At 39.3% G+C, this 25,045-nt stretch overlaps 1 protein-coding gene across 11 annotated transcripts in view, besides 1 other annotated feature; it reads right to left on the bottom strand.

The window, feature by feature from the left end:
* OSBPL9 (oxysterol binding protein like 9) overlaps positions 1-25,045 on the bottom strand; it is a 270,948-nt gene that overhangs the window by 134,179 nt on the left and 111,724 nt on the right. For 10 of the 11 annotated variants that reach the window (NR_036662.2, NM_001416294.1, NM_001416293.1 and 7 more), the window contains one exon: positions 3,000-3,050. The exons of the other annotated variant lie outside the window; for it this stretch is intronic. Coding sequence is in view for 7 of the 10 variants with exons in the window: in NM_001416294.1 (NP_001403223.1) it covers positions 3,000-3,050 (51 nt within the window). In the remaining 3 variants the exon portion in view is untranslated. The remainder of the gene's footprint in view (positions 1-2,999; positions 3,051-25,045) is intronic. 11 annotated transcript variants of the gene reach the window in all.
* Positions 7,013-7,221: a silencer, noted in NCBI's record as "fragment chr1:52113492-52113700 (GRCh37/hg19 assembly coordinates)". NCBI's record gives its function as "represses an EF-1alpha promoter that drives an FKBP-Casp9 reporter gene in an ReSE screen in K562 erythroleukemia cells {active_cell/tissue: K562}" and the evidence as "EXISTENCE:reporter gene assay evidence [ECO:0000049][PMID:32094911]".

Below are 25,045 nucleotides of genomic sequence, written 5' to 3'. Positions count from 1 at the left end.
CATAAAGGACATTCACATTGTTCATGATGTGATGATCACCATCATCACCATCCATCTCCAGAGCTTTTTCATCTTTCCAAACTGAAAACTCCATACTCATTAAACACTAAGTCCCCATCTCCCGTACTCCCAACCCCTGGAAACCACCATTCTACTTTCTGTCTCTGATTTTGGCTACTCTAGGAATCCCACATAAGTGGAATCATACCCTTTTTGTCTTTTTGTAACTGGCTTATTTCACTTAGTCTAGTGTCCTCAAGGTTCATCTATGTTGCAGCATGTGTCAGAATCTCCTTCCTTTATAAGACTGAATAATAATAATAATAATAATAGACTGTATTTATATACCACATTTTTTATCCATTCATCAGTGGATGGCCACTTGGATCCTTTCCACCTCTTGGCTACTGTGAATATTGCAAATAATGCTATGAATATTGCAAATAATGCTATATATCCATGTTATATATCCTATGAACATGGATATATAAGCATCTGTTTCAGTCCCTGTTTCCAATTCTTTTGGAAATATACATATAAACACATATATAAGTGGTTGTTTTTGAAGCCAATTCATTACCTTTAAAATTTGGTAAATAATAGGAAATAATCAAGCAGTCATCTTGCCTATTTTAACTGCACCACTGGGTAACCAAATAATAGATGAAATGTCTCCTTATAAAATTATTTCTGATAAAAATTAAAACAAAATGATAGCCTGTCATTATTTTGCAACCCTCAGTGAGTTAATGGGTGTAGGTACTGAACATCAATAGCTGCTAATATCAACAAAGGGCAAAAACTAGACACTATGTTCTTCCTGCTAAAAGAACACACCACCACCTACAGTCTTGCCAAAGGGATCAAACCTAAGTCTGATCCAGTCTCTGGATCCAGCTGCCAATTTGCAGCAAAAACAATGGACAGAGGAATGTAGTGAACTGCACCACCGTGCAATCAGTAAAATCTATACTATGGAAAATTCTTATAGGTCAAAGGGTCTGGATTCCTTTTTTTTTTTTCTTTTTTTTCAGATAGGGTCTCAGGGTCTCACTCTGTCACCCAGGCTGGAAGGCAGTGGCACAATTATGGCTCACTACAGCCTTGACTTCCTGGGCTCAAGTGATCCTCCTGCCTCAGTCTCTCAAGTAGCTGGGACTATAGGCATGTGTCACCACATCCAGCTAATTTTTTAAATTTTTTGTAGAGATGGGGATCTCACTATGTTTCCCAGGCTGGTCTCGAACTACTGGGCTCAAATGATCCTCTGCCTCGCTCGGTCTCCCAGTGTTGGGATTAAAGGCGTGAGCTCCAGCACCCAGCCGGTCCAGATTCTTCAACAGACAAATTGTAAACAAAAGACATCAAGTTAAACAAATAGGTAAGAAAACTATAGGACTTAGGGATACACATTTGGGTAAAAAAGTTATAACCAAATGTAAGAAGTGATTACTTTAGGAGACATATAAGGGATGTAATTTATTTAATTGGGGCACGTGGAGAGGCTTCAGGTATAGCTGACAAAATTCTATTTCTTAAGGTGGTAGTTAGAAGGGTTAATAATTAATTAAGCTACATTTAAAAGCAAAAACAAAAAAATAAAGACAGACAAAACCAGTGGATTAACTGTAACAATGAGACAGTGGCCTAAATCCAAATGGAATTCAACTGCAGTGCTCTGTCAAGACAGTTCTGCTAAAGTCTCACTACTGAACTTATCTCAAGCCAAAAGAGCAGTTAATACCAGACTGACTGGTGACTGAGGTCAACAGCAAGTGCTTAGAAAAGTAATTACACCAAACAGACAAAAGAGAAACCAAAGGAAAATTTTAGAAAAAAAAAAACAAAAACTAGAAGTTGAATTTTTAAAAATCTTTGTGCTATCACATATATACCATCTGATTGAAACAAGCCTGTCTCATTTCCATCCTGCAAATCTCCCATACCTACTCCTATCTCAGTGCCAGGATTTTTCTATTATAATTTGGTGTCTTTCTCAGCGGTATTTCCCAGTTCTATCAAGGACTGTTAACAAGGGCAATAATATGTTTACCAAATATATTCACATCTTCAAAAGTAAGGATGCAGAAAAAAAGGTGGAAGAAAGAAGTCAACAGGGTCCTGAAGAAAAGGTTCCTAGAAGCTGATTAACCTAGTTATGATAGAGGCCACTTTTCTTCATATACAATGGGATACTAGAAACTGCATCCCTAGCCATGCATTCTTTCTTGCCTTTACCTATTTGAACAATGGTGGAAACTGAAAGCAGCATGAAGCTATAGGTCTGCACCATAAGGCAGCCACTAGTCACATGTGGCTATTGATCCCCTTCTCTGAAGTACAGCTAGTCCTAATTGAGATGTACCCTTTGTGTAAAAAACACACTGGATTTTGAATAGTTAGTATGGAAAGAAAGATTGTAAAATATCTTAATTTTTTTTTATTAATCACATGTTAAAATAACAATATTTCAGATATACTGACCTAGATAAAATATTAATTTTGCCTGTTTCTTTTTACTTTTGAAATGTGGCTTACTAGAAAATCTTAAATTATAGATGTGGCTAACATTGTATTTCTACTGGACAGCACTGCTATATATACCATGATTAAATAGTGCTGAACAGGAAAAACAAAGCAGCGGCAGCTAACAGTTGGGATTTTTCCATTTTTTCTACTGTTGATATACCACCAACACCATAACTCACTTAATTTCCAGCCCTTGTCTCTTGTCTGTAAAGTAGAGGTTTAAGAAAATCAGAACATGCATTAAGTCATAAATACAACATTGAATCATGGGCCAAAATAACTGAGTTCTAGTCCTGGTTCTGATACTGACTAACAGTTACTTGGAGAAATCACATTTTCTCTCTGAGACTTAGATACCTGCCCCAACAATTATGTAAGGAAGCTAAACTAAATTTAGACTTCCATAATTCTATCAGAATACAATTTTCTTCTGTCAAAATTGATTTTCATAAAAATGAATAAATACTCACTCTGAGTCTAACACATCCTCTGCGAGAGCCTCTCATCATTTTGTCCTTGGACTAAAAGAAAAACAAAGCATTCAATGAATAAAACATTAACAGACTGGTAAATTGTTTTTAGAATCATCTGGGGATAAAAGGACAAGATTTACAGTAATACCCATCCCTTCTGCCAATTTCTCTTCCAAAAAGAAATTACTTATGGATAGGAAAATAAACAGATTTTAAATGAAAATGTCATACAGTCTATATAAATTAACCTAATCATAGAACTTTACACATACCTTTAATGTAACATATATTACATCATTATTTTCATTCCTTCTTCATTCCCTTAAGTACGAATGTTTCTCATACTTTAGAGAGTCAGAGAACCACCTAGAAGGCTAAGAATCACCTGGAGGTTTAAGAATCACTCCCAGATAATTATTTTTTTTTGTTTTGTTTTGAGATGGAGTCCCGCTTTGTCGCCCAGGCTGGAGTGCAATGTCTCAATCTTGGCTCACTGCAACCTCCGCCTCCTGGGTTCAAGCGATTCTCCTGCCTCAGCCTCCAGAGTAGCTGGGATTACAGGCACCCGCCACCATGCTCGGCTAATTTTTGTGTTTTTGATAGAGACGGGGTTTCACCATGTTGGCCAGGCTGGTCTCGAACTCCTGACCTCAGGTGATCCACCCACCTCGGCCTCCCAAAGTGCTGTGATTACAGGCGTGAGTCACCGCACCCAGCTGCCCCCAGATAATTATGACAAAGGCAAACAGAAGACCATACCTCAAGAAGTATTGCTTTAGCTTTACCTCTGCAATTCCCCAAATGGGTAACATTTTTTGCTTCTGTGACTTCTCATCCAATGTCCCTCAGTTTGGAATTTTCTTGACCCAAATGTTCTGCCTCGTTGTCATTCCAAGCACCTTAGCTCTGTCTGATTTAGATTTCCACCCTGGGCTCCCAGAGTCTTCTGTGTGTTCCCCTGTTGTGGCATGCATCACCCTGTGTTATAATTGCTGGTTTACTTCACCCACAAGACTACACATACCTTAGGGGGTAGGAATTGTATCTGACTTATGCCTCAGAACAGTGTCTGGTACACATCAGGTGCTCAAAAAACATTTACTGATGAAATGTAACTTAGCCTTTCTGTGTCTCTTACTAAACTGAGCCAAGCAAAGCCTATGTTATGCAAAAGTGCTATGTTTACATTCAGTAAATATTCCTAAGAGTAAATTAGTCATGTGCAATACAACAAAGTAACATCTCAAATAATGGAAGTTGAACAAATACTTAATACTTGAACAACTGGTATTTTCCTGTACTCCACCTGTGTGAGAAAGCAGCAAAACAAGCCAATATTGAATGATTATGTTTTAAAGATGATTATCCCACATGAAACTATAGATGCCCTACATCCAAAGTCTTGAGCCGTAAGAATTCATGTTCAGAAGTGATTACCGAGATACTAAACAGAGTATTCTTTTTGTTCTAACTATAAATATCAGGAATCATATATTTTAGGAAAAAAATTTCTCAATACCAAGCAGAGTTGAAAAGAGTTCTTTACTAATAACACAGTGAAAGAAAACAGTTGATGAAAACATTCCTTAAGCATTTAGTCGCCCTTTTACTGTACCCTATACTTATCTTCCCTTCAAGTGTAAAGGAAATACACAAAAATAATAATTAGATTTGAAAATCCCTGATGAGGTTAGAATGCAAAATTAACCCAAACAAGGTAAGAATATATTCATCCTTGATCCTCTTCTACTATAACACAATTTTTTAAATAAAATTACAGTAAACAGAAAAAAGGCAAGACAGGTCCCAGTGGTAATACAACTATTAGGGTTACAAATTAAACAACATTAAGAGGGCCAATTATAATCCTAGTCGTTTCCTAATTTCCTAATCCAGCACTTTGGGAGTCCAAGGCAAGAGGGTCACTTGGGCCCAGGAGTTTGAGGTCGGCCTGGGCAACATGGCGAAACTCTATCTCTACAAAAAATACAAAATATTAGCTAGGTGTGGTGGTACACACCTATAGTCCCAGCTCTCAGGAGGCTGAGAGGTGGGAGGACTGCTTGAGCCAAGGAGGTCAAGGCTGCAGTGAGCCATGACCACACCCCTGCACTCTAGCCTGGGTGACAGAGCAAAACCCTTTTTTCAACAACAACAAAAAAGAAAAAACTAAGAGAGATAACTGAAAATAATTAAAACAAATACAACCAGGAAATAATCACGCAAATCCAGAATGTGTGACATTCTACAAAACAACTGGCTTAGATTCTTGCAAAATGTAAAAAAAAAAAAAAAAAAAAAAGACTAACATGTAAACAATCGTAATAGAGCAAAAATAAGTGCTGTGGACTCCAGAAGGCTCCTCCCAGTCAAGGAAAAAGATCAGGGAAGGAAGCAAAACTGAAATGATCAGGTTTCAAGTTTCAACCTGGGGCTTTAAAAAAGAAAGAAAGAAAAAAGAAATCTGATAAAAAGAAAGGGAAGGTAGTGGGGGAAAGGCCATTCCAAGACAAGGAAACAACATCAGCGAAGGCACAGATGTAGAAAACTTTACTTTCCTATTCATAGGAGAGTAGATGTACAGACAAGAGCACAGGGTGCAGACAGGAACTTACAGATAAGACTGAAGGCCAGGAACAGTGGCTCACGCTTGTAATCCCAACACTTTGGGAGACTGAGGTGGGCAGATCACTTGAGTGAGGCCAGGAGTTCAAGGCCAGCCTGGCTAACGTGGTGAAACCCTATCTCTACTAAAAATACAAAAATTAGCTGGGCATGGTGGTGCACACCTGTAATCCCAGCTACTTGGGAGGCTGAAGTAGGAGAATCCCTTGAACCTGGGAGGCGGAGGTTGCAGTGAGCAGAGATGGCACTGCTGCACTCCATCCTGGGAAACAGTGTGACTGTTTCAAAAAAATTAAAATTAAACATTTTTTAAAATGAGGCTGAAAAGAAGATTACAGGGACCAGATCCTGAAGGGTCTGAAAAAAAACATGGAGTAGTTAAGGAAATTTAACTTTATTCAATAGTTAATGGGGAGCTACTAAAGGTTTACAAAGAGGGCAATAGCATTCTTAAAGGTGTGTTTTAGAAAAATAACACCGTTAAATAAGAGGACTTGGAGAAAGGGATAATAGCAACATTAATAATAACAATAGCAGAAGCAGCAGATCCTCACTCATTGCTGCCCCTTATGTAACAGGCACTTTATATACAGTAAACCTTACAAGCCTTTGCATGGTAAGAATTATTCCTATATTAAAAATGAAAATGACACTAGGGATATCAAGTAAGTTACCCAGTGTTACATATGTAAAATGTGGCTGAGTTGCACAGTTGGAGATGCCTGTCCGGCAAATCATTCTCCCAGACCTTATCTGAGCTGTAATAGCATCAAATTATCCTCTTTCACAATAGCACAGGGCCCTCTCCCTCCCTCTCTCCACTCAGCTTTAATGCGGGGCTATAGGGAAGCTGGTGTGACTGCTTTCACCAGACACAGCCTTTTCTGATAAAGGAAGCTGACCAATCACAGGACCCACTACCCCACAGGGCAGGACAGAGTCATCTCCCAGGAAGTTTTTCAACCGGGGCAAAGGGAAGAGCTCCCTCCTATCTGCTCTTGAAGCTGTGAGGTACAGAGGCCACTGGTCCTGTGCCTTCTATGCGAAGAAAGCAAGCCTACACAGCAAGAGAAGCACAGAGATAAGGAGGAAAGTCCCAGCTGCCAGTGATCTTCAGCTACCTCCTGGTCTGAAGCAAATCTGTCTAAGCCAATGCCATTCACCAAATATTAGGTTATTTCTGATGAATCCTAGTAGCTTCTGGTAATGAAAGAAAGGTAGCTGACATAACGCCAGCAATCTTCCTACTGAGTGTTATCTTACCAATGTTCTGAAACCTGCTAACAAATGTCCTTTTTCAAGCAAATTGGCACAAATAGATATGTGGTCTACAGCCCAGTAACTGTCACTCTCTCTGCCTCCAGCTACAAGGCCCGGTACCTTAAAAAAGGACCACTCTGAAATGAATGCTACTGTCTTTTCAGCTGGATGACAAAACAGGATTACCCCCATGAAGTGGGAATATCGAACTGATATGTTCTACTCAGAAGGGGTTCTCGGGCTACTCCTGAGCTCAAGCAATCCACCTGCCTCAGCCTCCCAAAGTGCTGGGACTACAGGTGCGAGCCACTGTGCCTAGCCAAAAGTTGGTTCTTTAAAAAATCAACAAAATTGATAAATCATTAGCTAGACTGACCAAGGAAAAAAAAGGGGATTCAAAGTACTAAAATCAGGAATGAAAGAAAAAAAACATTATTACCAATCTTACAAAAACAAAAAAATTCTAAGGAAATACAAGGAACAACAAATTAGATGAAACCAATAAATTCCAAGAAAGATATAAACTGCCAAAACTGACTAAAGAAAAAATAGAAAATCTGAATAGACGTAAAATAAGTAAAAAGACTGAATTAGTAATCAAAAAACTTCTCACAAAGAAAAGCGCAGGCCCAGATGGTGAGTTCTATAAAATGTTTAAAGAATTAACGACATACCTTCACAAACTCTTCCAAAATATAGAAGAGCGAACACTTTCCAATTTTTTCTATAAAGCTAGTATTATTCTAATACCAAAACCAGAAAAAAAATCGTACGTAAAAAACAGTATCTGTTTCTAATATAGATGGACAAATTCTCAACAAAATACTAGCGAACAAAATCCAGCAAGATATAAAAAGGATTATATACTATGACCAAGTGGGATTTATCCCAAGAATACAAGGTTGAGTCAACGTATAAGAAACAATCAATATAATATACCATATTAATAAAATAAAGAACAAAAATCACATGATCATCTCAAAAGACACAGAAAACGTACTTTTAAAAAAATCTAACACCATTTCATGATAAAAACCACTCAACAAACTAGAAACAGAAGGGAACTTCTTTGAGTTAATAAGGGGCATCTATGAAAAGCCCAAGGTAACCGCATATGTAATGATGAAAGATTAAAAGCTTTATACCTAAGAACAAGACAAAAATGTCTTATCTTGCTACTCCTGCTCAACACTGTACTGGAGGTACTAGCCAGAGAAATCAGGCAAGAAAAGGAAATAAAGGCATCTAGATTAGAAAGGAAGAGTTTAAAGTATTTCTGTTTGAAGAAGACATAACCTTCCATATAGAAAATCCTAGGGGGCTGGGTGCAATGGATCACACCTGTAATCCCAGCACTTTGGGAGGCTGCAACAGGTGGATCACTTGAGGTCAGAAGTTCAAGACCAGCCTGGCCAACATGGTGAAACCCCATGTCTACTAAAAATACAAAAATTAGCTGGGAGTGGTGGGCGCCTGTAGTCCCAGCTACTCAGGAGGCTGAGGCTAGAGAATCGCTTGAACCCAGGAGGTTGTAGTGAGCCGAGATTGTGCCACTGCACTCCAGCCTGGGCAATGGAGCAAAACTCCGTCTCAAAAACAAAAAACAACAACAACAAAGAAAATCCTAAGGAATCCACACCAAAAACAAACTATTAGAGCTAATAAATGAGCTCACCAAAGTTTCAAACAGAAATTCAATAACAAAAATTAATTGTATTTCTATACTTTCAGATTTAAAAAATTTGGAGATATAACTAAGAAAACAATTCCATTTATAATAGCATCAAAAGGTAAAATACTTATTAATAAATTTAATAAAAGAAGCATAAGACTTGTACACTGAAAACTACAAAACAACACAAGGAAATTAAAGAAGACCTAAATAAATAGAAAGATACCTCATGCTCTTAGATTGAAAGACTTAATGTTGTTAAGATGGCAGTACTCCCTAAATTGATTTACAGATTCAATATAATACCTATCAAAATCCTAACTCCCCTTTTCTGTTGTAGAAATTGATAAGCTGATGCTAAAATTCAGTGGTTTTGCAAGGGACCCAGAATAGCCAGAACAAACTTCAAAAAAAGAACAACATTGGAGGACTCACACTTCTCAATTCCAAAATGCAACACAAAACCACAGTAATAATAGACAGTGTGGTACTGACATTAGGATATGCATAGGATCAATGGAATAGAATTGCAAGTATAGAAATAAACCCATACATACATAATCAAGTGATTTTTTTTTACAAGAGTGCCAAGACTATCCAATAGGGAATAGTCTTTCCAACAAATGATGATTAAACCATATGTAAAAGAATGAAGCTGGATACCTACCCTATGCCATAAAAAAAAGTTAACTCAAAATGGATCCAAGACCTAAATTTAAAGGGTAAAACTATTAAGTTCTTAGGTAAAAACGTAGGTATAAATCTTTGTGACCTTGGAATCAGCAATGGTTACATGATACCAAAAGCACAAGCAATAAAAGAAATATTAATAAACTGGGCATCATCAAAATTAAAAACATTTGTCCTTAAAGAACACTATCACACTAAGGCAGGAGGATCCCTTGAGCCCAGGAGTTTGAGGTTATGATGAGCTATAATCATGCCACTGCACCATAGCCTGGGCAACAGAATGAGACCCTGTCTTAAAAAAAAAACCAACCAAACAAACAAAAAACACTACCAAGAAAGTGAAAAGACAAACCAAAGAATGAGAGAAAATATTTGCAAATCATATATATCTGGGTAGGGGTATAGTATCGAGAATATATACAGAACTCGCACAACTCAACAATAAAAAGACAACCCAATTTAAAAATGGGCAAAGGATGTGAGTAGATATTTTGCCTAAGAAAATCAAGTTAAGAAGATAGTTTCAGCTGGTGATAAGTGTTAAGAAAATAAAGGAAGGTGATTGTCTTAGTGCATCTTGTGCTACTATAACAGAATACCAGAGACTGCATAATTTATAACAGAAATTTATTTTCTCAAGTTTTAAGGGGCTGGGAATTCCAAGATCCAAGCACCAGCATCTGGTGAGAGCCCTATTTATCGCAGAGCAGAGGGTGGAAAGGCAAAGAGTACAAGTGAGCGAGCCCTTTTTGTGATGGCGTTGATCTGTTTACAAGGGGACTGCCTAAACACTTTCCATTAGCCCCCACTTCCCAACACTGTTGCAGTGTTGCAGTTAAGTTTCCAACACATGAATGCTGGGGGACACATTTAAATTAGAGCAGTGATGATCAGAAAGTTATTGTTGGGAAAGGAGGTTCTATTTTAACTTAAGTAGCTTGAAAAAGCTCTTCAAGGAGTTGATACAAGAACTGAGATTTGAATTAGAGGACCGAGTAAAGTGAAGAATCTGCGGGCAAAGTCCCAGGCAGAGGGAAGAGCAGGAAATGATTCATCAGTAGACTTGCTCTCCCATTCTCGGCAAGGGCTATTTCACATTTTCTCCACTCTCTCCCTCAGCACATCTCCACCTGGCTTTCTCAAAGGCATTTAAAACTCAACATGGGCTGGGCGCGGTGGCTCACCTCTATAATCCCAGCACTTTGGGAGGCTGAGGCGGACAGATCACATGAGGTCGGGAGTTCAAGACCAGCCTGGCCAACATGGTGAAACCCTGTCTCTACTAAAAGTACAAAAATTAGCCGGGTGTGGTGGCACACGCCTGTAATCCCAGCTACTAGGGAGGCTGAGGCAGCTAGAATTGCTTGAACCTGGGAGACAGAGGTTGCAGTGAGCCGAGATTGCGCCACTACACTCCAGCCTGGGCAACAGCGCAAGACTCCGTCTCAAAAACAAAACAAAACAAAACTCAATATGTATAAAACTAACTCGTGATCCTGTCTCTCTTCCATCCAATCAATCAAAGTCCCCTCATTTCTGTCTCATAAAAGCTCTCAAATCTTCTTTCATGAGGTCATAAGGGAAAAAGAAAAACAAACTCTCAAAACCTTTCATTTAACCTCATCTCTACCATCAACCACCCCAATCCAGCCCTCTACAATACATCCCAATATTGTATCACCTGCTTTTTTTTTTTTTTTTTTTTTTTTTTTTAGACAAGGTCTCACTCTGTTGCCCAGGCTGGAGTGCAGTGGCACAATTTTGGCTCACTGTAACCTCTGCCTCCTAGGCTCAAGTGATCCTCCCACCTCAGCCTCCAGAGTAGCTGGGACTACAGGCATGTGCCACCACACCCAGCTAATTTTTTTTTTCCTTGTAGAGAAGGGGTTTCGCCTTGTTGCCCAAGCTGCCTCAAACGCCTGGGCTCAAGCGATCTACCCACCTCAGCCTCCCAAAGTGCTGAGACTACAGGAGTGAGCCACCGTACCCAGCCTGTATCACCTTCTAATTCTTCTCTATCTCTTCTTCCTCTCCTCCAATCCTTTCTCCACACAGGAGCCAGGAGTCTTTTCAAAACATGAATCTGATCAGGTTACTTCTTCGATTAAAAAACAAAACAAGCAAGCAAGCAAAAAAAAGTACTTCATGGCTCTACATTGCACTTAAAATAAAATGCACATTTATCAATTTGCTCTCTCTAGAGACCCTGCTTGGCCTGGCTCCAGCCTACCTCAAAATACCCCATCATCCCTGGGCCCCACCCACACTCATCTTTCAGTTCCCTGAACCAGCCAATCACTTTCTTGCCTAAGGACTTTTACATGGATTGTTCTCATTGCCTGAAGTGCCTTTACTCATCTACCCTCACTCTTTTTACTGGCTAATTCCTACTTACCCTCAGTTCCCTGAGGAGGGAAGCTTTACCTGAACCTCTAGAGCAGATAGCCAACCCTTCACTTCTAACAAGGATATAATAAAACCCTTTTTTTCCCATAATACTGTGGGAAAATAAAATCCTATGGGCTTGAGTGTATCCCCCAAAAGTTCATGTGTTAGAAACCTAATCCCTCCGTCCTCATGAATAGATTAATGAGGACTCTGTCCTCCTTGATGGATTAATGTCACTATCACAGGAGTGTGCTCTTTATTGATGGAGTGACTTTGTCGTAAAAGCAATTTCCCTCACCTCTCTTGCTCTACCTCTCTCACCATGTGATGCCCTCCACCATGTTATGAAGCAGCAAGAAGACACTATGCTCTTCCAGCTGCTAAAACCATGAGCCAAAATAAACTTCTTTCCTTTATAAATTATCTAGTCTGTGGTATTCTGTTATAGCAACAGAAAACAGACTAAGACATAAAATGTCCATGGATTTCTCAATGTTCTTCTAAAAAGCTCTAGGGTCCTGGCAACATTTCTGCATGCCATAAGGATTAGATCTTTTGTTTTCAACTGGTCTGGAAGGATAATAAAACCCTCTCTCATTTCCCAGAGAAGTTTGAAAGGTTACAGCCTGGAGCAGTTCCCTAGGCCAAGCTTCCAAGGTGCTAAGAAAAGGGGTACAGCTATCTCCCTAGATATTTGTATGTAAAAAGAGATAAAACTCCAGATATGCCAAAGGGTTGGAGTTAGGATTTAGGCTTATTACCTTTCCTAAGTGACCATTTCATGAGGGGAGGGGGACAGTTGCCTATTTCCCCTTCATAGGAGAGAAAAATAATTTTTCCTTGTCCCCCACCTACAGAGTGTCTGGCTACTCACGCAGGACAATTGACCTGGCTTTTATAGCATCATCCTAGGGGTAAGGACTAGGGCAAAAGCAGGCCAATACATTTATTATTATGAAATGTCTCTGATCCAGAATACCTTGTGTGCATTCATGATAAAATTAACAAAGATAAATAATTAAGAGCCTGCCAAGTACTTTATAAATCTGTAATTAAACAATTCTGAAATTACTTAATTTCATCATCCCTATTAGCCTTAAATTCTAGGAGAATATTGACCTATTACACAGAGGAAACTCAAAAAATATTGAATAAATGATAGGACGGAGACACGTAAGTACAGCTAGCCATTTAAATTTTCATTAACGTAACCCTCAATTTTATGTACTATGCCTCAACAGCCAGTAATTTGAAGCTTCTATTCTTATTCTGATTATGTTGGTCAGAAAATTAAAATCGGCTGCCCAAAGACAAATTAAACTTCACAGATTTTAGTGTGTTACTAAGTCTGTTAAACCTGCCTCAAAGGAAAAAAAAACATTTGGCCTTTACGCTAGCTACCATCTTTATAACCACTTGACACTTACCTTTTTTAAAAGTCAGTACTTTTTCTGTAAAGAAACATCTAAGGAATGCTGATTCCAAACATTCTAATCAATACTGTGTGCCTAGATCTAGGCAGCAAACACCTTAGGATATCTAGATTCTCTTCGATATACTGTCAGTGTGAAAATCAATTTATTCTGTAGATCTAAACAGATATTTATCTCGGCATTGACCCGGTGCTCCCAGGAAGCTGAGAAACAGATCCTAACCTCCAACTGTTACATTATCAAAATAGTTGGTGATATAATCAACACATTTGTAAGGCCCTGCTAGAAGTAATCTAGGATGGGGTTAAGCAACCAAAAGCAGCTTTTTGCTGGCTATAGAATAAAGAACCTTCTGGAAATCAGTAAATTAATAAAATCAGAAACAATTTTTATTTTCCCAGGGTAAGAAATTTCTGAAAGAGTCACATAAGTCTATCAGAAAGTAGAACTTATCTTGCCAAAATTAATTTCACAAACTATTCTAGAAAATATCCTTCTATGGCTTACTTAATGTGAGAAACATGTATTTATAGGAATACATACTGTAATGGACTGAATGTTTACATCCCCACAAAGTTCATATGTTGAAATCCCAACCCCTAAGATGATGGTATTAGGAGGTGCGCCTTTGGGAAGTGATTAGGTCACAAGGGCAGAGCCCTCATGAATGGGATTAATTCCCTTATAAAAGAGGCCCCAGTCAGAGCAAGGTAATGACCAACAATGAGATGACCTGCATTCTCAAGAGAATAGCTCATAATAATCTCAAATCACACAGCGGTCTGCCTGCTTGGTCCATTTCTTAAATCCTTAGGAAAAAGTAATTTTAAGAACATACTAAGAACTATTTAGCTAAATGTCAGTCTTAAATCTGCTTTAATATGGCAACGCACAGTGGCTCACACCTGTAATTTCAGCATTTTGGAGGCTGAGGCAGGGGGATCACTTCAGGCCAGGAGTTGGAGACCAGCCTGGGCAACATAGTGAGAACCCATCTCTAAAAAAAAAAATTTTTTTTAATTAGCCAGGTGTGGTGGCACACACCTGTAATCCTAGGTACTCAGGGGGCTGCGGTGGAAGGATCCTGTTAGCCCAGGAGTTAGAGGTTACAATGCACTGCACTCCAGTCTGGGCATCAGAGTGAGAGCCTGTTTCAAAAAAAAAAAAAAATTATCTTTACATTACTATTATTCCCACCCTATCTTTCAGAACCTAATTAATGCCTGGGACCTGGAAGGTATTATTAATAGATAAATGTCTGCTCAATGAATGGTCCCAGACCACTTTCCCAGTTATCTTACTCATCCAACAAACATAATTCACTCAAAATATGCCCATTCAGTCCCAATTCAAGCTATTCAACACTCCCAAGTAACACAGGGGAAACCTTTTCCCCGGTTCTGTAAACTTTCAGTCCTCTTCAATCAAATTTTTACAACTGTATTTTAAATTATTACAATAAAACAATTAGAGATTAATAATATCTAATAAAAAGCACTAAATCAAAAGCACAAAAGTAACTACTTGATTATATCTTGATTGTAACTACTTAATTGTATCTCCAACAGGACTGCAAGCTTTTAGAAGATTAGTTCAGTTTATTCCTAGCACATACTAAGTACTAAAAACATCTTATTAAGTTTAAAAATTAACTCATAAAATCTAGCTTGGTGCCAGTATATACTGCAATCAATAAAAACCTGTTTAATTGGAAATATAAATATGAGTTTACAAAGTAAATGTGTCTGAAAAAGTTTTGTGCAAACATATTTAAAATTCAGTAAGGAAGATTTCCTTGCCATTTACATTAATTCTACAATCCTTTTATAAAGCAAAGAATGGCCAAGTATGGTGGCTCATGCCATAATCCCAGCACTTTGGGAGGCTGAAGTGGGAGGATTGCTTGAGCTCAGGAATTTGAGACCAGCCTGGGCAACATAGTGAGACTTCCTCTTTACTAAAATTAAAAAAAAATAAAAATTAGCCAGACATGGTGGTGTGTGCCTATAGTCCCAGCTACTGGAGGGCTGAGGCAGGAGGATTGCCTGAGCCCAGGAGGTCAAGGCTGCAATGACCCCTGATTGCGCCACTGCACTCCAGCCTGGACCACAGAGCGAGACCCTATCTCAAAAAAAAAAAAAAAAAAAAAAAAAACAACTAGGAATGCCTCCCCGAATCTGTTACATGAGGACACTTAAATTTATTTGAATGTTAATTTTACTTTGCTTAAAGTACACTGTGTTGAAGATCAAGCAATAAACTCACTGACTTGCTATGAATCTCTCACAGCTAAAAGTGAGGTCTCCTTCTGAACTTATTAATATACAGCATGCCATATTACTTTTCTTAAGGCACTTATTATTTCTATCTTACATGATAATAACGTATGTGCATGTCTCATCACTTCTCCCAAAGGTAGTTTCTGACTCATCCTTGTCCCCACCACCCCAACTCAATATGCTACCCTTGCTACACTGTACTTTGCAAAGAACATTTAACATGTTGATGGTAGAAGACCTGGGGACAATGAACGTGGACAAATGTCACAACAGTTCCTCTCCTTTACGCATAAATGTAAACACTGTTTCCACATTGAGAGACATGTTAGTTCATTTCCAAGTGCATATGAGGTTGCACACATAGCCAGTGTTGTACCTTCGACCATCTACTACTGGCACACAGGAGGAAAACTTGACAGGCAAACTAACCCATGAAGACAGGAATCACAAGACGCTGGTTCTAGGGCATGGGACAGACAGGAAAGGGACAGGAGGGAATTTTGCAGGAAGATAACAATGCTTCATATTTTGATTGGGATATTAGTGACAAGGCTGTAAATAAATGCAAAGACTCAACTAATTATACACTTAAAATATGTGTTTTTTACTGGAAGAAAATTATACGTCAATAAAAGTAAATTAATAAATAGTACTTGACAAAATTCTACGAAGATACACTAATTACAACAGTTACAAAATAGGAAATGATAGCAGCAACTCTCACTCACTCCTGTAGTTTTTTTTTTAAGGCATTCTTGCTATGTTGGCCAGTCTGGTCTTGAACTCCTGACCTCAAGCAATCCTCTGGACTTGGCCTCCCAAAGTGCTAAGATTACAGGTGTGAGCCACTGCATCTGTTCAGATTTTTATTTTTATTTTTATGAGACAGAGTCTTACTCTGTCACCTAGGCTGGAGTGCAGTGGTGCAATCATAGCTCACTACAGGGGCACACCACCACACCCAGCTAATATTTTTGTATTTTTTGTAGTGACAGGGTTTCACCATGTTGCCCAGGCTGGTCACTAACTCCTGAACTCAAGGGATCTGCCTGCCTCAGCCTCTCAAAGTGATAGGATTACAGGTATGAGCCACCGTGCCCCGCCTTTCTTTTCTTTAAAAAAAATTTTTTTTATACAGGTAGAGTCTCACTATGTTGCTCAGGCTGGTCTCAAATTCCTGGCCTCAAGCAGTACTGGGATTACAGGTGTGAGCCACCACACCCAGAATGTAGTCTCCTTTCTATTTAAGAGAGCACGGACTCCTAAAGCCATCCTGATAGCATTTAATGTACTAGAGACCCTTCCCCAGTTACTGCCTTGGGACACTCAATAGCCCCAAATGTCATTATGCTTCCAGAAAGCTACACCAACAAAAACTCTTGAGTAGTCACAGACTCACAATAATGGAGAAATTTTCCCCATCACTCATCCTTCAAGTTATCATAGATAACTATCTCATCCTTCCCTCCTTTCCCTGTCAGTTACAGATGGTCTCATTTTGAGCATCAGATTTAATGTCTATTGATTCAATATACAAAAATATATCAGTAAACAAGGTAATGGTGATTTTGGGGGTCTCTCCAAGATCCTGGGAACAAGGCTGCCTTCCCTTAAAGAAAAGAGACATATATCAAAACAGAGATATATACAAGATCATCTTTAAGAGATGGAACAGCCTGGAGATCATTATACTAAGTATTTTAGAACTAGAGAAAGAAGGCCAGAACTAATATCAGAAGGCAAGGATAGAAGTTTTTTTGACCCAAAGATTAAACCTGTTACATTCTGGTAATAGGTATGTCTCTAACATGGAGATACTGCATCTTGATGTCAATATCTAATGCCACTAAATACCTATAACATATAACTTTGGTCTGATGCTGCTTATAATTTGGCATCCCAAAGAGTTTGCATTCAGAGAATAAATGTATCAGTTAGATAGCCTAAATGTAGAGTCTTCTTAAGTTATATTTCTTGTTGTGAATTAATAAATTGGAATACTGATTCATATAATGGTGACCACTGTGTACATTTAGTGAATATTACTATGTCAAACACCTCCATAAACTTTAGCTTTTTGTTATCATTTACTGAGCACTTATGTGCCAGACACTGTGCTAGTGCTTTAAATACTATTTTATTTAATTCTCACAATGATCTTATGATATTGGTTCTTTTATCATACCCATTTTATTTAGTTTTATTTATTTATTTTTTTGAGACAGAGTTTCACTCTTGTTGCCCAGGCTGGAGTGCAGTGGTGTGATCTCGGCTCACTGTAGCCTCTGATTCTCCTGCCTCAGCCTCCTGAGTAGCTGGGATTAAAGGCATGCGCCACCAAGCCCGGCTAATTTTGTATTTTTAGTAGAGACGGTGATTCACCATGTTAGTCAGGCTGTTCTTGAACTCCTGACCTCATGTGATCCACCCACCTCAGCCTCCCAAAGTGGTGGATTACAGGCGTGAGCCAACATGCCTGGCATGTTATACTCATTTTATAACTGAGGAATCAGTGACAGAAAGGTTGGAGTAACTTGTCCACAGACTCACAGATAGCAAGTGAGAGAAACAGGATTTGAACCTAGGTATGGATCCAAAGGTACATTTGTACCACAGTCACTATAAACCTGGTTAATTTAAGTCTTCCTTAAAGGTTTTTCTCAACCACAAAGGCTGGGTGTAAAATCAGTGATCTTTCTGAATTCAGAGGAGTATGTCACCCTGTAAAGCCTCTCAGCAGTGCCTCAGAGGGCGGTAATGCTGACTTCTGAACCATCTCTAGCATGTAAATTCCTAGGTCACTAGATTACAAATACATGTCCACATCCCTTATCCCAAGACCTTTGGATCAGATGTGTTTTGGAAATGACAATTTTATTTATTTATTTATTTATTTATTTTTAAAGTAGAGATGGAGTGTTACTCTGTTGCCCAGGCTGGCCTTGAACTCCTGGCCTCAAGTGATCCTCTCACCTTGGCCTCCCAAAATGCTAAGATGACAGGCATGAGCCACTGTGCCCAGCCTTCACAATTTTAGAAAGGTAAGACAATTTGGGTTGGGTGTGGTGGGTCATACCTGCAATCCCAGCATTTTGGGAGGCCGAGCCAGGAGGATTACTTGGGCTCACAAGTTCAAGACCAACCTGGACAACATGGTGAAACCCCATCTCTACAAAAAATACAAAAATGAGCCTGGTGTGGCAGTGTGCACCTGTAGTCCCAGCTACTTGGGAGGCTGAGGTGGGAGGATGGTTTCAGCCTAGGAGTCAGAGGATGCAGTGAGCTGAATCATGCCATTGCACTCCAGCCTGGGTAATAGGGCCAGACTTTGTCTCAAAGGGAAAAAAAAAAAAAGAATGAAGTGGCATCCAGGAGAGGTGGCAAATGCCTATATTCCTAGTTACTGGGGAGGCTGAGGTGGAAGGATTACTTGAGCCTAGGAGTTTGAGGCTACAGTGAACTATGATCATGCCACTAAACTCCAGCCTGGATAACGAAGCAAGACCCTGTCTCAAAAAAAAAAAAAAAAAAAAAAAAAACAAGAGAGAGAGAGGAAGGAAGGAAGGATTGATTTTAGAAAGGATACACACACACACACACACACACACATATACATACATACAGTACATAAATTGTGTCACCTGCAGTGAGGTCTAGGGTAGCCAAGGATATTAATTCCACAACCAAGCATATTAATATATCTATAGTACAACAAACAAATATTTACACTAAGCATGATAAAGATTATAAATAGCCACACATCAGTTCAAGATAGGCTTTACTTCCAAATGAGCGTATCATAAATTTAGGGGGAAAAATCTTTTTAATTCAGGGCTGTAGAGATTTCAAAATTGCAGGCAGAGGATTGTGGACATATGGACTTTGATCTAGTGGCCTATAACATTGTCGAGTCTCAGGTTTTTCACTGTTTTTAAAAAAGGATAATTTTATCTTCAAGTCAGAATTTCAGGACAACAGGTGAGTGGAGAGAACCACTTTCACGGAGCTCAATTAAGCACAGCCATGATGACTTAGGGTTTTTGCATCCCTTATAAAGTTAAATATTAAAAACTAAATAGTAGCCCAAGTTCTGCAAACTACTGATAGCATGTTAGTAATATATGCTGCACCTTGAAGGAAATCAAAATATACCACCCCAAAATATACTTCTTTGGCATATTTTGAGATAGCTATTCTCAGAGGGGCTGCAGACACGAGAATAACTCTGAAAAGCTGTACTTTGGTAGGGGAGACTTGTATCTGCAGAGGTAATCTACATTAGTGGAGTAACAGCGAGGTGCAAACACCTTTTTCTGAGACCTCCTTATCTGCCTTATCTAATCTAGGAAGATTACCTCACAGGAAAAGGAGACCAAAGTTCTGACATTTTTTTTTTTAATACAGATGGGGTCTATCTATGTTGCCCAGGCTGAACTCAAACTTCTGGGCTCAAGGGATCTTCCTAACTCAGCCTCTCCAGTGGCTGGGACTATAGGTATGACCCATCACACTCTGCTCTTGACACACTTTTCGAAGTCTGACAGAGAAACTTTTCCCACAGGTAAAATGATCTACTGAGAGATTTCTCCTGCATAACAAGACGGCCCAGCCCTTGCTGGCCATGGGATATGTTTGCCTGTGTCTCCACCCAAATCTCATCTTGAATTGTAGCTCCCGTAATTCCCACATGTTGTAGGAGGGACCTGGTGAGAGATAATTGAATCATAGGGCCAGTTTCCCCCATACTGTTTCTTGTGGTAGTGAAAAAGTCTCATGAGATATGATGGTTTTCAGCGGTTTCCCTCTTCCCTTGGTTCTTATTCTCTCTTTGCCTGCCCCAGCGTAAGACATGCTTTTCGCCTTCTACCACGATTGTGAGGCCACCCCAGCCATGTGGAACTGAGAGTCCATTAAACCTCTTTTTCTTTATAGATTACCCAGTCTCAGGTATGGCTCTGTCAGCGGCGTGAGAACAGACTAATACACCATGTTTCCTCCTCTCACTCTCATACACTGCAGCAACCCCTTCCCCACAACCCCAGGATACCCTTAACCCTCTATTCCTTTCTGCATGGTATAAAACTTCAGTTGGCCTTTCTTTGAGTCTCATATTTTGTATGGCTCCCATGCTTATGCACGTGAATAAATTTGTATACCTTTTCTCCTGTTAATCTGGCGACTGTCAACTCATTTCAGCCGACTTGGATTCAAACCTTCAGAGGGAAAGTTTCAACTTCCCTACAACCTCGACACAGATTTTCTATTTTTGTTTTGTTTTTCACATACCACCCAAAATACTAAATATTGACTTGTGTTTATTCACAGAGTTGATTAAAGGAAATAATGAGGGAGTGTTAAACTCTGTTTTATGCTCCTCCACCATCAGTACTTCTCCCACCAAACTGTGAAATGACAATCCATTATTAACATTCAAGTTCACTCCTCTACCAAAAATTGCCCAAGGACCTTTTTCCCTATTTAGCAAAGACTAATAGAGGGCCCAGAATAACAAGATTATAAAAAGGGAACAAGAAGAACACTACAAAAATGTATAGAAGATAGAAAAATTTGTGCAACACACAAAAATGTGGTTAGCAAGAACAACAGCTAGACCCATGAAATTTCAGATGCTTAGTCCTAATTCCAAGTCTCATCCTATAGACTCCAATTTAGAATGGGGCTATGCTCCAAAAGCTCCTTGTTCAAATCTGGAGGTTGGGGCTCAGGAAAAATGTTTGCAATGAAAAACTGTTAATAATTATTTCCAAGCCAGGTAAGGCGGCTTACACCTGTAATCCCAGCACTTTGGGAGGCTGAGGTGGAAAGATCACTTGAGCCCTGAAGTTTGAGACCAACCTGGGCAACATAGTGAGGCCCCATTTCTACAAAATGGTTTTTTTAAAATTAGCTGGTGTGGTGGTTCACACCTGTGGTCCCAGGTACTCTGAAGGCTTAAGTAAGAAGACTGCTTGAGCCCAGGAGGTTGTGGCTGCAGTGAACCATGATCATGCCCCTGCACTCTAGCCCCCGTGACAGAGTGCAAGACCCTGTTTTCATTTTATTTTATTTTATTTTATTTTATTTTATTTACTTTATTTTTTGAGACAGGGTCTTGCTCTGTTGCCCGGGCTGGAGTGGACTGGCAGGAACACAGCTCACTGCAGCCTCTACTTCCCAGGCTCATTGATCCTTCTACCTCGCACCCATTCCCCCATCCCCACCCAGTAGCTGGAACCACAGGCATGCATCACCACACCTGGATAATTTTTATTTTTTATTTTTTTGTAGAGACAGGGGTCTCCCTACATTGCCCAGGCTGGTCTTGAACACCTGGGCTCAAGCAATCCTCCCGTCTTGGCCTCCAAAGTGCTAGGTTTACAGGTGTTAGCTACCTCACCTGGCCTTATTTTACTTTTATAATAAAGATAAAAGTGGCCAGGTGAGATGGCTGACACCTGTAATCCCAGCACTTTGGGAGGCCAAGGCGGGTGGATCGCCTGAGGTCAGGAGTTCAAGACCAGCCTGGCCAACATGGCGAAACCACGTCTCTACTAAAAATATAAAAAAATTAGCCAGGCGTGGTGGCGAACACCTGTAATTCCAGCTACCTGGGAGGCTGAGGCAGGAGAATTGCTTGAACCCAGGAGGTGGAGGTTGCAGTGAGCCAAGATCCAGCCTGGAGGACAGAGTAAGACTCGGTCTCAAAAAAAAGAGAAAAGTATTTTTTAAAAGGCAATTTAAAAACTCTCATTTTTTTTTAATCAAGTCTAACTTTACTTCAAAATACATGGGTTTCCAAAAAGAAATGAAGGCAGAAGAGTTAAAATGACTTTCATTTTAACTAGTCACAGAGGATGTTGCCTGTCAGAAATTTAAACTTACTCCTCTTTCAGGTGATAAAATTCCAAGGTAGACCCTATCTTCTTTGATAATTTGCCACTGCCTTTCTATACTTATGCCATGTAAACATAAAAAACCCATCACTCACAAATTCTGAGACTTTAGTATCTGGTCCCCGCCACTTCTCCCCCCATCGCAGGCTTTCCATTGAGGTAAGAGGAAGAGTCTTTGCTTAACCTAGCATTATAATAGATCACTGTAATTTACAAAGGCCTCTGCAGAAAGTTTATTTAATTGTGATAATGATGTAAATTATTTATCATCTGCCAGCAAACTAGTGATAACAGGTTTATCATCATTCTAATCACTATTAATCTAGTGTATCCCAGAAAGAACATTCTATTTGAAGTTAGACCTTGATCACCCACATAGAAACTACTATGGGATCCTCTTAAATTTCAATGTCTTCACTGTTCAAAGGAAATAATACCAATTACTTCACAGAACTGTTTGTAAGATTATAATGGAGCTGAAAATTTCTTATTGCCTAATGATGCTGTACTCATGTTTGTGGCAATGCTGTTATAAACAAACCTACTGTGCTGCCAGACGTATAAAATATAGCACATACAATTATGTACAGTACATAATACTTGATAATAAGTACATTACCTTATATATTTACTATACTGTATTTTATTGTTATTTTAGAGTATATGCCTTCTATTTATATATACGTGTATATATAGATATATTTAAAAGTTAACTGTAAAACAGCCTCAGGTAGGTCCTTCAGTAGGGATTCCAGAAGAAAGCATTGTTATCATAGGAGATGACAGCTCCATGTGAGTTATTGCCCTAAAGACCTTCCAGTGGGACAAGATGTACAGGTGGAAGACAGTGATACTGATGATACTGAGCCTATGTAGACCTCTGCTAATGTTTTTGTATCTTACTTTTTGAAGCCACCTTTGCAAAAATTCTATCAGTGAGAAAATTATGGCAGTTGGGGAGACCTGATCTAGCCAATGCCCCCTTGCCTTTAGCTTTCAAGCTGCAATTATTTCTAGGCTTAAGCCAAGCTAACTTTGGGAGACATTTATAGTTTAAATGATAATAATCCTTCCCCAAAACTCAACTGCCTTTGTAAATCTAATGAGAGAGACCACCAGGCTAGGAGATTAGAGGAGCCTGAATCCTGCTAAGGCATAGACATAAATGATTGTCAGCCATTATTCTGGACGTCACAATTACTTCTGCAGATAACATCACTATTGAAGAACCTAAGGTTGGTCTTTTTTTTTTCTTTTTGAGACAGGGTCTTGCTCTGTTGCCTAGGCTGGAATGCAGTGGCATGATCATAGCTCACTGTACCCTCGACCTGTTGGGCTCAAGCGATCTTCCTGCCTCAGCCTCCAAGTAGCTGGGGCCACAGGTACACTCCACCATGCTTGGCTAATTTTTTTAGTTTTTTGTAGAGATGGGGTCTCACTATGTTGCCCAGGATGGTCTCAAACTCCTGGGCTCAATGATCCTCCTGCTGCTACTTCCCAAAGCGCTGAGATTACAGGCATGCACCACCATGCCCAGCCAGATTGGCCTTTTTGAGATATCTTTTCAAGTTTTTTGCATGTCTGACAACTGATGGCTCCCACATGGACATGCCAGCTGCTCCTGTGGCCTCACCTAGAAGCAACTCAGCACAAGAGGACAGCTCCAACCCAACCAATCAGCACTCCCCATACTGTAGGCCCCAGCACACCAAACTATCTTTGAAAAATCCCTAACCTCAGAGTGAGGCCAGCCTCGTGTCAAACTTTCTTTACTGTAATGCCATGGTCTCCACAAACTGATTTTCTTTGCGCAGTGGGCAGAAAGAACCCATTGGGCAGTTGTATTTTTAACAAGAAAAAGCTTAAAATAAAAAACATAAAATAAGAAAACTTATAAATAGAAAAGAGCTTATAGAATAAGCATATAAAGAAAGAAAATACTTTTGTACAGCTGTACAATGTGCTTGTGTTTTAAACCCAAGTGTCAATACGAAGGAGTCAAAAAGTTAAAACAAAAATTAAAGGTGTTTTAAAAAAATTAAAAGTTTATCAAGTAAAGCACTACAGTAAGCTAAGGTTAATTTATTGAAGAAAGAAATTTTTTTTGTAAGTTTAGCGTTACCTAAATGTACAGTGTTTATAAAGTCTATGGTAGTGTATGGTAATGTCCCCGGCCTTCACATTCACTCACCACTCACTCTTTGACTCATCAGAACAACTTCCAGTCCTGCAAGCTTCATTCATGGTAAGTGCCCTATACAGGTGTACCATTTTTTATCTTTTATACCTATTTTTATTGTATCTTTTCTATGCTTAGATACATTTAGATACACAAATATTTACCATTATATTACAATTGCCTACAGTATTCAGTACAGTAATGTTGTAGTGCAGAAAACGACTAACCCAGAAAATATGGCACTTGGGCATGGTGCTTTTGAAAATTGAAAGGCCTTAGAAATAAAACTTAGGATCAAGGTCCCTCTAACCTTGTCTTGTTTCTCCCTGACCCAGCGCCGGGAGAGACTCTCTGGCATTTCCTTATCTGACCAAAAAAGCATCTTACCAAAAAAACCACAATTGTCTTCTATCCCCTTTCTGAAATCTCATTATCTATCACAGAAAAGAAGACTGAGAAATGCAACTACACCTGGATGGACTTTTCTGTCTCCTTGATTCATTCATTCCCCCCAGTAATCATTTAGTACCCTTTAAAAGAATTGTCTACACTCCCCATCTCCTCCGTCCCCTGTGAAAAAGGGTATATAAATTACTGTACTCCATTAGGGGGTTGGGGTAATCA

Source organism: Homo sapiens, chromosome 1 (assembly GCF_000001405.40).
Source record: "Homo sapiens chromosome 1, GRCh38.p14 Primary Assembly".
In the NCBI taxonomy this organism is placed as follows: Eukaryota; Metazoa; Chordata; class Mammalia; order Primates; family Hominidae; genus Homo; species Homo sapiens.
Note: the sequence above shows the minus strand (reverse complement) of the source record. Positions and strands in the feature narration are given on the sequence as shown.